The sequence below is a fragment of the Homo sapiens genome, chromosome 10 (assembly GCF_000001405.40).
Source record: "Homo sapiens chromosome 10, GRCh38.p14 Primary Assembly".
Classification (NCBI taxonomy): Eukaryota; Metazoa; Chordata; class Mammalia; order Primates; family Hominidae; genus Homo; species Homo sapiens.
In genome coordinates this window covers 8060176-8071963 of record NC_000010.11, presented here as the reverse complement: position 1 = coordinate 8071963, position 11788 = coordinate 8060176, and the positions used below count along the sequence as shown (strand labels likewise).

Genomic DNA, 11788 nt, shown 5'->3' with positions numbered 1-11788 from the left:
GATACACAGCTCTGATGCCGATATCTAGCTATACATAGCCAGGTATCTAAATATAATATCTAGTTACACCAGTAGCCACACAACCCCAGATAACCAGTCACAACACCACTGAGAGATGCTGATACCGAGGTAGGCAGTTATCTCAACACCTAGATAAGAAGAAAGAGCTTATGGCATCCATGTAGAGATGTCTGGAAGGGCAGAGCAAAACGCAACGTGATGACAATGTTAATAGATTATTATCTCTTATTGTTCAATACACATCAATCGCCTCCTTTTACAAATTCCTGGTAAACCAGAGAAGACAGAAAAACCACTCTTGAGGATGAGGAAGTTTCTGTCTCCCATTCACTGGAGCCCAGCCATGAAGACCAAGCTCATTAAGATTGAGGAGGTAGAAGTGAGCCATGGAGAGGATTCCTCAGCTTTACTTTGATTTGAGAAATTCATGTTCTTCAGAAATATATATATATGTGATCAGACACAAGTGAGATCATATCTCATCCCAGCTAACTATTCAAAAAAACATATAGCTAGTTAATCTCCTATAATTCCTATACTTCCACGAATATAGGGATGAAATATACACACACACAATTTGTTACAATTTTGTTATACTCTAAAAAAAGAGAGCATTCCCTTTCCCCTGGTTCTCCTCTTAGTTCTGACACTGCCAACTTCCCAGGAAAGCCTCCTGACTCTGAAATGGGCCCTGACTCTTATACTTTCTCAGCCACGTTACCTTGTGCAAGCGACTTGCTTTTCTGAGTCATAACTCCCTCAAGTAAAACTGAAATAAAAATAATTTCTGCCCTGTCTACATCATGGGACTATCTCAGGCTCAAATGTAATCAAGTAACATGAAAGTTCTTTGAAATCCATAAATTACAGCCCAAAAATAATTTCATAGGCAGTGCTGATGACTGGATAGCTAATAAACCCTAATGCTAATAACCTAATAGCTTATAAGCCCAAGCCTTCCAGATTTTAATCACGAATCTCTATCTCTACTGTAGTCAGCAAGCAAATTCCCCAAAGTGAAAATAGAACTTGGATTGAATTGCTGATAAATGTATATAGACCACAGTCCCAGGACCTAAGGGAGAATAAGGGATCGTAGTAAGACTCTAGTTTCATTCACTGCACCAGGGCCACAGCGAGAGAGTTGGCACAGGCAGGGAATGAGCGTACAGGGCTCCTCGGAATCACAGCAACTTGCTCCCAAGAAGTGAAAAAGAAGCAGGGTGCTGGGGTCACCCTGAGAAGTTCTTTATGACTCAAAAAATCCAACCAGAAAAGCTTCCTCCCCAATTCCCAGGTATTCCTGAGTAAGATGAGTTCATTGCCAGAACCGCCGCAAGCAAAAGTCCCTGTCTCCTCCCTGTTCAGCCCCGGACTTTGCCAAAGTCAGGTTGGCCAAGAGAATTTAGGAGAATCAGAAAGAGCTAAAAAGGAAGGAGAGAGAGAGCAACACAGAGAAAGACCAAAATAACCATTTTTGTCTTTAGAGTTAATGTAAACTTGAAGCCTCACTAGAATCATGGCCTCTGAGCCAGAATGATTTCAGGAAAAAAAAAAAACTGAAAAAAAAATTTTTTAAGATTAAGATATGTTACAAAATGAGAGGACCCCAAATGGAAAGATCAGAAATGACACAACTAAATTCAGGTGACTGGCAATTACCGCTCTGCTAACATGATATAAAAGGAGAAAATGACAGTTTATTTTCCCTGGTATGGTAACATCCCCCAGGCCAGCCACCTTCCTCAGGAGCTAGCTCTCTACACGTGAAAGTTGGTTCGGACAAAGACATCAGACGAAATCTGTCAGACATTTTTTTCCATGTCTTTTATACAGAGGATCCATTTCAAATTTGTAGCACAGATTTAGCCAAGACTTTTTACCTCTCAGTAACCAAATGGGTCCTCTTAGTTTCCAGACCCCCTGCCACACATTACAATTCTATTTACCTTTCTCTTTCATTCTCTCTTTCTGCAAAGAGTTTAAAATGTAAGGAAACAACAAAATAGGACCGGTGGCTTTTTTTGTTTTCCAAAAGGAAGATTTTTTTTTTTTCCTTATAAACCACACAGGCCCACTCAGCACATCGGATTGCTGCATGGTATGTGGAGTGTCCAATGCATACCAAGGGGGTTGTGTGGCTGCCAGGCTGTGAGCCCCCTCGGCCTCAGCACGGCTATGCTAGACAAAGTAGTTTTCCAAGCTAGGTCCTATTGCATCAATTATTTGGAACCTGTCATCTGCCCCCATGGTGAGCGATTCACTTGGAGAGGGTGGTGGTGACGCTGTTTGCTGGTCACCATCAGGAAGCGAGCCCTGTTCTTGCTGATCCCAGTCCACTTACATTGTGAAGCTTGTAGTAGAGCCCACAGGCATTGCAGACAGGGTCCCCATTGGCATTCCTCCTCCAGAGTGTGGTTGTGGTGGTCTGACAGTTCGCACAGGACGTCCCTGCTCTCCTGGCTGCAGACTGAGAGTGGGGAGAGAGGAGAGGGTGAAATCAAAACAAATGTTAAATGTGTTGTCATCACTATGAAGACAGGCTTGAAAAAAAAAAAAAGGAAGGAAGAAATTATCATTGAAATCAAAACTAGCAAGTGGTCCACATGAAAGTAATACAGATCCCCAAAAGCTGCCTCGAGAAGAAAAATGTCGCCACTCCACTGGAGCATGTCAGGATTGCAGTAACGTGGTCAGAGTTTCACCTGCTGCTCCCCGGTAGGAGCAGGAAGCCGGGGCCTCCTCCCTGGCAGTCTTAGCCTCCTACCCTCAACCCACAAAGTACACCAGAGGGTTAATTTTTATGGGTGGCAATTTTGAATTAGCCAGCCTCATTTTGGAACTGGGCTTTCAGTTGCCTTTTTCACCAAGTCCAGGGCCACAAGAGGTTGTTTTCAAACACAACTCCCAAGAATATCCATCCTCAAACAGGCTCCAGCCATCAGGATGCATTCACAGCAAAGGAGGCGCAAAGCCAAGCACCAAAAACACTCTGGATCGCAAATAAAGAAATGCTGAGTTATAAAGAGAACAGTGTGCCAACACAACAGCAAATTCTGCAAAGAATGTCTGTGCAAGTGTGTGGCACATACACATGGGTGACACACCTGAGGAAGCGCCAAGTAGGACATCCTAGGTCAACAAGACCTCCTAAATTTATACAGCCTGCACTTTCTTTTTTTCTCGTTTTGAGATGGAGTCTCGCTCTGTCACCCAGGCTGGAGTGCAGTGGTGCGATCTCAGCTCACTGCAACCTCCACCTCACGGCTTGAAGCAATTCTCCTGCCTCACACTCCCGAGTAGCTGGGATTTATAAGCACCTGCCACCATGCCCGGCTAATTTTTCTATTTTTAGTAGAGACAGGGTTTTACTATGTTGGCCAGGCTGGTCTTGAACTCCTGACCTCAAGTGATCCACCTGCCTCGGCCTCCCAAAGTGCCGGTATTACAGGCGTGAGCCACCACAGTCTGTGCTTTCAAGCTTGGTCACTTCCCATTCACAAGACAGCCACCCTCACTCTCTTTAGCTGGCTGTCACCTAAATTTGATTCACCAATCAAACAAACTCAAAAGACCAAGGAATGTTGCCACTCATCAGGAACCCTGGATCCCTCGCCTCCTCTGATGCCAGTCCACCTTCATGAAATCAGCCATTTCCTACTTGCTGTTCATGGAGTAGCATAGTTGCAGGTCAAAGGTCAGCCTCAACCTGAATTTTGATTCCTTGGTTGTGTTACTGCCCTCATTTCCTTTAAAAGAGAGATTTTTCTTTCACTTTTTGACATATTTAAATTGATCAGGTGACTATTCTCTGTTCACGCTTTAAAAAAATAAAACTGAAAAAAACCATTGGAAGAAAATGGAGTTGGGTCACTTCTAATGTAAACCTCTCTCTCCTCCTCACCTTCCATCATAAAAAGAAAATTTTAACTGCAAAATTATCCCCATTCCTGGATCAAAAATATTATCAAAGGAAAGGTAAGAGAAGAAAGAGTTTAGTCTCTGTCTGTGATGAAGAAAATTCTGGTATGGTTATAAGAACACAGAACAAGAACTATAGGGATCCTGGTACAGTTTTGTTTTTTGTTTTTTGTTTTTTGTTTTGTTATGTTTTCTTTTGTTTCTGAGACGGAGTCTCGCTCTGTCGCCCAGGCTGGAGTGCAGTGGCGCGATCTCGGCTCACTGCAAGCTCCGCCTCCTGGGTTCACACCATTCTCCTGCCTCAGCCTCCCAAGTAGCTGGGACTACAGGCGCCCGCCACCGCCCCAGCTAATTTTTTGTATTTTTAGTAGAGACGGGGTTTCACCTGTGTTAGCCAGGATGGTCTCTATCTCCTGACCTCATGATCTACCCGCCTTGGCCTCCCAAAGTGCTGGGATTACAGGAGTGAGCCACCGCACCCGGCCTGGGATTCTGGTACAGTTTTATATCAATATTTTATCAAGCAAAAAGTTGAAGCCAACACCCGAAGCTGCCAGATATGGAGAACCCAGTGACAATTTTGAATTAACCTGAGTGACCCTTTTTCTTTCAAAGTTGCTAAATTGTTTCACAGATATGCTTCTGTGGGATGTAAATAACAGAGTATATATGACCTTTTTAAAAAAATTCTTTCTTTTCTGTGTTCTAAGGAACTGGAAACTAAAAACTGCCCTGGCCTATCATAAGGGAGAAGATGGGAGTCTTTTGCTGTCCATCTTGAATGTAATTCACATTGTCCATGAGTGCTGATCTAACCCCATATGCCTCTGCCCGACTGCCTTTATGAAATATGGTAATTTAATGCTTAAACAACTGTTTCATTTGTGTACTTTTTGGGAGAAAGTACTACGTAAAACCAGTGCTTAATGATTTTGACAATTAAATTATATGTGATTATTATCTTCCTATAGTGTTTTTTTTTTTTAGAAGAGCTACTCAGATATAGCAGATTAATATCACTCAGGCACCTGGGTTTCCTAGCCCAGCAATTCTGAATGTACAGAGTACAAGCATATAATGCCAACTGGTAAAGTCAGAGCTCCAGATGACAAGGTACAGCATGTAATCTTTTGCAGTCTATTGACAGCAATCTAAATAAAAGCAAAGGAAGATGCTTCCAGTACTACAAACTTTATGGGAACTTAGGGTCTCTCAAAGCCACACTGTTTGGGTCACTAGCAGGAGGTACAGTATATTAAAGCAAGCAGCTCAGCCTCTCACTAGTGGTGAGATGTATGAAAATCCTGGCAATGCCAGGGGGAAAAGAATCTATGAGTCTTCCCTTCGGTCATCTCTCCTATTTCTTGCATTAGTTTTTTCAGGGTTAAATACACATCTCACAGAAGAGCTAGCTATATATGGGCTGGGTGGTCTTCAGTGAATCTGCAAATGTATCAAACAAAAATAGCAAGCTGGAACTGGAATAAAGGGTCAGGGAATACAGGAAAGAAGAAAACAAAGGGTTCTAGGTGTTCAGAAGTCAAATACATCTCAGGGCTAAAAAAAAAAAAGAAAGAAAGAAAGAAAGAAAAAGAAATCTGAGTGTGTCCTGTGTTCTACCTCCCTGTAGCTTATGAATTCTATAGAACTAAAAACATCAAACCACCAAAGACAGATGATTAAGAAAGAAAAGACAGATGAAAATGTGACAGTCATTGAACTCTAAAATTCAAAGCAATTATTACTCAGAGTTCTAGAGATTTCCTATGAAAGGTGAGTGGAGATAAAATTGCATAAAATGGAATTACGATCCTCCTCTGCAATCTGACCAGACAGAGGAAGAAGACCCAAGAAAATGTCAAATAAACTTTTGCTCACCAATCAGCCCATGCCTTGAGACTTTTAATCCCTCTTTTTCCTTCTTTACTTTTATTAGAAAAAAAACAGAAAAAACAAAAAAAACAACTATAATGGTACCAAGACACATTTTAACAAGAAGGTTTTTGTTTGTTGTTTTTTTTTCCTCTCTCTCTCTCTCTCTTTTTTTTTTTTTTTTTTTACTAAGGCCAGGTTTTTGAGTGATTCAAAACATTCTTTTGTGGTGTGATCATATTCATTCTGCACTAACACCTCTAGCCTTTTTTTTTTTTTTTTTTCAAACACTTCTTGTTCTGATACGTTCAAACATCTTGGTGTTTAGGTTGGGGAAGCTGAGTTGTTGTTTATGAGTTATCTCCAGTGCTCAGATATCCGGCAGCTTTTTCCTAGGAAGTCAGCTTTGCACATGAGAGAAAGGAAAAAAAAAAAAAAAAAAAAAAAAACCAAACTGCTGGAGGAGAGGTGGGGGAAGGTTGAGAAAGTTGGAGAAGGGGGCAAAGATCAGAAAGAATAAAGCCTCGATATCCAGGATTGTCAAAGATTAAAGTCATGTGGACATTTCCATCCCTAGAAAGTTTTCCTTCTTTGGCTGGGAGCGGTGGCTCATGCCTGTAATCCCAGCACTCTGGGAGGCCGAGGCGGTGGATCACCTGAGGTCAGGAGTTTGAGACCAGCCTGGCCAAAAAGGCGAAACCCTGTCTCTACTGAAAATACAAAAATTTGCCGGGTGTGGGGGCGGGTGTCCCTACTCCCAGCTATTCAGGAGGCTGAGACAGGAGAATTGCTTGAACCCGGGAGGTGGAGGTTGCAGTGAGCCGAGATCGTGCCACTGCACTCCAGCCTGGGTGACAGAGTGAGACTCTGTCTCAAAAAAAAAAAAAAAAAAAAAAAGAAAGTTTTTCCTTCTTCAAAATAGGATGTGAAAGGTGTTGAGTTGCACTACAATCTGATGGGGAGGGCAAAGTATTCTTTAAAAAGAATACAGAGGTGTTCTTTTTCCTTCCTTAGAAATTGATGGATGCTAATTTATCCATTAATCTGCGTGGGGAAATTCCCCTCCTCCCATCTCGACTTGGTGAATGTCAGCACCACATAAAGCATTTTGATCTCTTAGCTGTGGCTAGAGTTGTTATTTGTCTGTCACATACATTCACTATTCAAACTTCCAAAGAGGAGCTTGCAAATGAATGTCCCCTATAAGTTGTCTTCCTTATAAATGCTTGACAGAGCCAGGTTTTCTCAAGGATCCCTCATGCTTAAAAAGTTTTTAAAAGAATAATGAGAGAGGAGAGAAAAAACTATCACCTTACTGGTAGTAGTTCAAAGAGAAAAGAAGACCAAATGCCAGGTATGAGAGGACTCACACGACGTTTCCCATAGGAATTGCCTGTGGAAAGTTCTCAAATGCTGAGACCAAGAAAGGAGGAAAGTGGCATTAGGCTCACTGGTTGCTGGTGAAGCCTCTGAAATTCATTTAATCAGCTCCAACCATTTTGAAGCATTAGCATAACAAATCCATCCATTGCACTGAGTCTGTAATCCTTCCTGGGAAGCCACACGCCACAACTTCAGGAACCCATTCTGGATGGTTTCTGGAACATTCCGTCCTCATACTAAATGTCTCTATCTGTCAAACGGTGCTCATCAGTGCACTTAAACCAGCTGCTCTGGTCCTGTTCATACCATTATTCTATTCAGGAATACACTGCAGATTTGATAACCAAGAATTCAGTCTCCTTAAAATGTTCACAAGCGACTTAAGAAACATGGATGGGGAAAAAGAGGGGAAAAGAGCTGTTCTGTGTATCAAATTTGAAAAAAAAAAAAAAAAAGAAGAAGAAGAAAAGAAAGAAAGAAAAAGGAAAAAAAAAAAAACTGTCCCAAGCCAGCTGACACGATTGGAGGCTATCCTGTCAATTTCCTGCAGAAAGCTGTCCTTCCGGAAGAGAGGAAATGAGAAACCCAGAATGGTCAGCATGGAATCCATCCCTTCCCGAGAACTTACCAGCCTTCGCTTGGGCTTAATGAGGGGCCGGTTCTGTCCGTTCATTTTGTGATAGAGCCCGCAGGCGTTGCACAGGTAGTGTCCCGTGCCATCTCGCCGCCACAGTGGGGTCGAGGTTGCCCCACAGTTCACACACTCCCTGCCTTCTGGAAACAAAAGCACAGATAAGCCACTTAGGGAAGGAAAACACGCAGGAAAGCTGACAGCATTTGGAACTGGGGGAGAAACGTAAAATGGAGAACTTTTTTCCTTCTCCCTCCTCTTTTGGGGAGCGTGTCCACCCCCACCTCTTTCCAAGATGCTCCAAAGTTGAGCTGGGGAATGCTGTCCTGGCATGACCGTTCCCCCGACACACACGGAGGCGCCCGCAGAAGGGGCAGATGCATCGTTGCAACAGAACCCTGTTCTTGGCTTGCCCGACTTGATGGAGAAGATCGGGCAGGACCAAGGAGGAATGCAGATTCCAGCTACAAATACTTCCCTGAGAAAATCCTGAGCCCTGGATGGTGGCAAAAGGCAAACATTCCATTCATTTCCCTCAAAGGAAAAAAAGGAAGACAAAGGTGACCCATTATCATCATGGGTCTGTCTATAGAGATTGATTAAATAATGAAGATTAGGATGGGGGAAAGGAAGGATTCATCAATGGCTAGATAGGTGAACAGATAATAAATAGATGCATAGATTGATCAATCGGCTGATTGATTTCACTAGCTAGGGTTTTAGATTTTACTTCCAATCAAACTGCAAATGTCCCTGGCTGGAAAGGAAGCGATTAGGACCCAGCAGGGGTTTCCATAGCTTTCCAGCCGCTGTTACGGAGACTGAAGTTAAAGTATGACCCCAGCCAGGGGGTGCAAGGGGGAAATGCAAACTTTAGGCAGGGAACCTGGAAGAGGGGGAGGGAGGGAAAAAGGAAAAGGGAAGGTTTGGGAGGACAGAGTGAAGCCGATCAGAGGAAGATCAGGAGAAGAGGCAAGTTAACAAAGCGGGGTGGCTGCTCAGTAACCAAGGCCTGCCTACAGTTTCTCTTTTCCCAAAAACACAAACAAACAAAATAAACGAAAAACCAGCCAGGCCGGTAGGAAGTCTGAGCAGCATTCACTCCCTCAGCCCAGGCTGGAAAGCGACCCAGACCCACCCAGAAAGCTCCTTGGAAGAATCCCTTAAATTACCATTTCAAGACATGGGGGAGTTGGCTAACTGATTTCAACTTTGCAAGAGGAAGAGAAAGATGCTTTCTAGGAGAATCTCCTTGGTTTTGGGGGACCCAGGGACACACGGGTCTCTAGCGCCCAGTTCTCTGGGTGCCCAGAGAAAGCCAGGACTCCCCTTCCTTGCAGGAACAGGAGGCTTAACTCAAGTTGGTCCCCCAGAGAGGGGAGGCCCAGAGGAGGACCCCGGAGGGTAGGTAGGGAAGAAAAATGAGCTCTGAAGACTGTTTTGTTTTAAGAGAGTAATTAATGACCTCCAACCTGCCCGGACCACTGGGGTAGAAGAAGAGAACCCAGTAGGGTGCTTGAGAATTTTGATTCCCCTAAAAGGAGGAAAAATCTGCCTTGGCAGATATGGGACCTATTGGGCCTTTGGAAAGCCCCAGATCAAGTAGGAGGGAACTAGGGGGGTTCACACTTGGGGGCCTGTGATACTCTCCAGGGGTAAGTTCTTCAGGAAAGTTAAAGACTTTTGCAAATGGAAGAGGGTCTTGCACCCTTGAAAGTCAGGGATGGTGCCCACTAGTTTTTGTCTACTTTGTTTTTTAAAAAAAAAAAAAAAATGAGGATGTAAGAGAGGTTTTTTTTTTTGCTCCACATTCCAAAAGATTCTTAGCCTAGGGTCCCCAGAGAGCCTTTGCTGTGCCCCAGAACCCCTGAGATTAAACACAAACACGCTGCAGTGCATGCCAAAGGCGCCTTCCTAAGTACCCAACGGCTCTTCTCAGTTCTTGAAAAAGGCTCAGGCCTGAATCACACCCAGACACCTTTCAGTTGGGGTCAAAAGCCTGAGGGATGTGGCAGACTGGATGTGGGGGAGGCTGGAAGGAAAGAGTGAAGGGTGAGTGGGCGAGTAACCGGCTGCAGCCCAAGCCAGGCCGCAGGCCTGCCTTTTTGTGTCGCTGGTGGCTGCTGGGTCAGCCCCTTCTGGGGCAGCACTGGCCCTGTCCCAGCTAGGACTGCAGGCCCACTCCCCACCCTGCCCAGACAGGGGACCCCCTCGGGCTCCTCCCCTACTTGGGCACTGGGCAGAGGGCAGTGTGAGGAGAGGCCGCTGTGGTTGGAGGCGGGGAGCGTGGTTGCCACCCGGCTCCTGGGCACCCTGGTGCTGGGGGACCTCCCAGCCTGACATGATCAGTCTGATTTCCTCTCATTTGCAGGGTGGTGGGGAGGGTGATAGCTTCCTTTTCAGAAACACCTTGAAAGCTAGCAACGGTTACCTCTTCAACAAGGTTCTGCACACTAGGGTAATTTTCTGTCTTGATTCACTCGGCAAGGTTGCCATTGCCTCCTATGGGCTTTTCTTCTTCTTTTTTCCTTGCTGCCTCTGGTCTGTCACTTCAGCAAACAGCCAGTTTTCCTAATGGAGGCCCTGACTCTCTCCTGCCTTCTTTCCTCCCCTCTCCTCACCCCTGCCTGTTGTGAGCTGCTCAGGCAGACACCTCTCTCTTAGGTGACAAGAACCACAGAGCGGCGAGGCCTCTTGACATTCAACAGCTGCTGGCAAATGCCTCTTGCTCCGCCTTGGCCTGAAACCCTTAAACCAGGCTGTGGGAGGGGGTAGGGAGCAGGGCAGGAGCTCGATCAGATGACAGTGGAGGGAGATGCCCAACTGGAAAGGTGGCAGTGGAGCTAAGAAGCGGCCCTGGACACAAAGACTCTGTCTTTTGTTTGCAAAAGCTTCGTCCCAGCCCCGAAAGCCCAGGCGTTAAGACAGCAATAGGTGCCCTAACCACGACTTCAACCGTTTCCAGCGACAACCCCAAAAACTCTCTCTTCTCTGTGTCCTCCTTCAGCAAATGCATTTGCAAAGAAGAGGTTAAAGGGGTAAAAAAGAGAGAGAGAGAGAGAGAGAGAGCAACCACTAAAACCAAGAGAATCCCCTCCTGAAGAATTCCCACCACCTCCACCCCCTGCAAAAGGAGGGGCTTCTCGAAACTTCCCCTCCACACTCCCAAAAGTCCCAGCTCGCTCGCCGCCCCTGCCAGGTGTGCTGTTCTCGGTTTTCACGACTGTGAGAAAGGAATTAAGAAGGAGGAAGTAAAAAGGCCAAATTGAAATGGCCTCCTCTCCTCCTCGCCAAAAAAACCAAAATCGGTGTATCGGTATTCCTAGCTCTGGCTTAGGGAAACCACGGCCCTCTCTTTCTCCCCTCCATGTTCAGAGTCTTATGGAAAGAAATGAGAGGAAAGAAAAGACTAAACTTAAGGCAGAAAGTGTGCACAAGAGGGGGAGAAATCAAACACGGAAATGAGGGTAAAGAAACCAGAGTATCTTGGAAAAGTCACTCTGTCCCCTCCCCCCGCACAAACCACTACGCCGGCCTCAGATACCACGAGCTCTCCCCAACCTCATAGCCTTACCAGAAAAGAGAACTTTAAAAAAAAAAGAAAAAGAAAAGAAATCCCATCACAACCTCAAAATGCATAGGTCTGCTCTCTTTCGATTCAGCTCCCCAGCCTGTGTTTCTGAGTCAAGCTGCACCCCACTTCTTAATCCTTCCCTCCACCCCCAAGCCCAGCCCCTGCCAGGCACCGTGGCCACTTTGTGCCTCCAGCTCTCCCGGCCTCTTGCTTTCTTTTTGACTCCACCAGCTAGCCTGCCTCCCTCTCCCTCCTGCCTACTTTCATGTACTGAACATGCAGGTCTGGGTTCTTCTGTCAGCCTAACCGCATCCGGACTCTATTAAAGTTCCTGGCTCAGGATAAACAATGCAACTGTCGCGTGCAGCAGTCTGAAAATAATTGGA

At 45.2% G+C, this 11788-nt stretch overlaps 1 protein-coding gene across 25 annotated transcripts in view, besides 2 other annotated features; it reads right to left on the bottom strand.

The window, feature by feature from the left end:
- The window catches only part of GATA3 (GATA binding protein 3), a 29866-nt gene that overhangs the window by 3235 nt on the left and 14843 nt on the right, over window positions 1-11788 (bottom strand). For 14 of the 25 annotated variants that reach the window (NM_001441116.1, NM_001441118.1, NM_001441117.1 and 11 more), the window contains 2 exons: window positions 7826-7971; window positions 2366-2491 (listed from right to left, as the gene is read on the bottom strand). In NM_001441116.1, coding sequence (NP_001428045.1) covers window positions 2366-2491; window positions 7826-7971 — 272 coding nt within the window. Of the gene's footprint in view, window positions 1-2365; window positions 2492-7825; window positions 7972-11455; window positions 11508-11788 lie in introns of those variants that run through there. The other 11 variants (NM_001441124.1, NM_001441132.1, NM_001441125.1 and 8 more) reach the window with 3 other exon arrangements.
- Window positions 7975-8889: an enhancer, noted in NCBI's record as "OCT4-NANOG-H3K27ac-H3K4me1 hESC enhancer chr10:8105038-8105952 (GRCh37/hg19 assembly coordinates)". NCBI's record gives its function as "activates a minimal SCP1, AML or CMV promoter by ChIP-STARR-seq in naive H9 embryonic stem cells {active_cell/tissue: H9 hESC(naive)}" and the evidence as "EXISTENCE:reporter gene assay evidence [ECO:0000049][PMID:30033119]".
- Window positions 11416-11465: an enhancer, noted in NCBI's record as "active region_2984". NCBI's record gives its function as "activates an Ori minimal core promoter by ATAC-STARR-seq in GM12878 lymphoblastoid cells {active_cell/tissue: GM12878}" and the evidence as "EXISTENCE:reporter gene assay evidence [ECO:0000049][PMID:35858748]".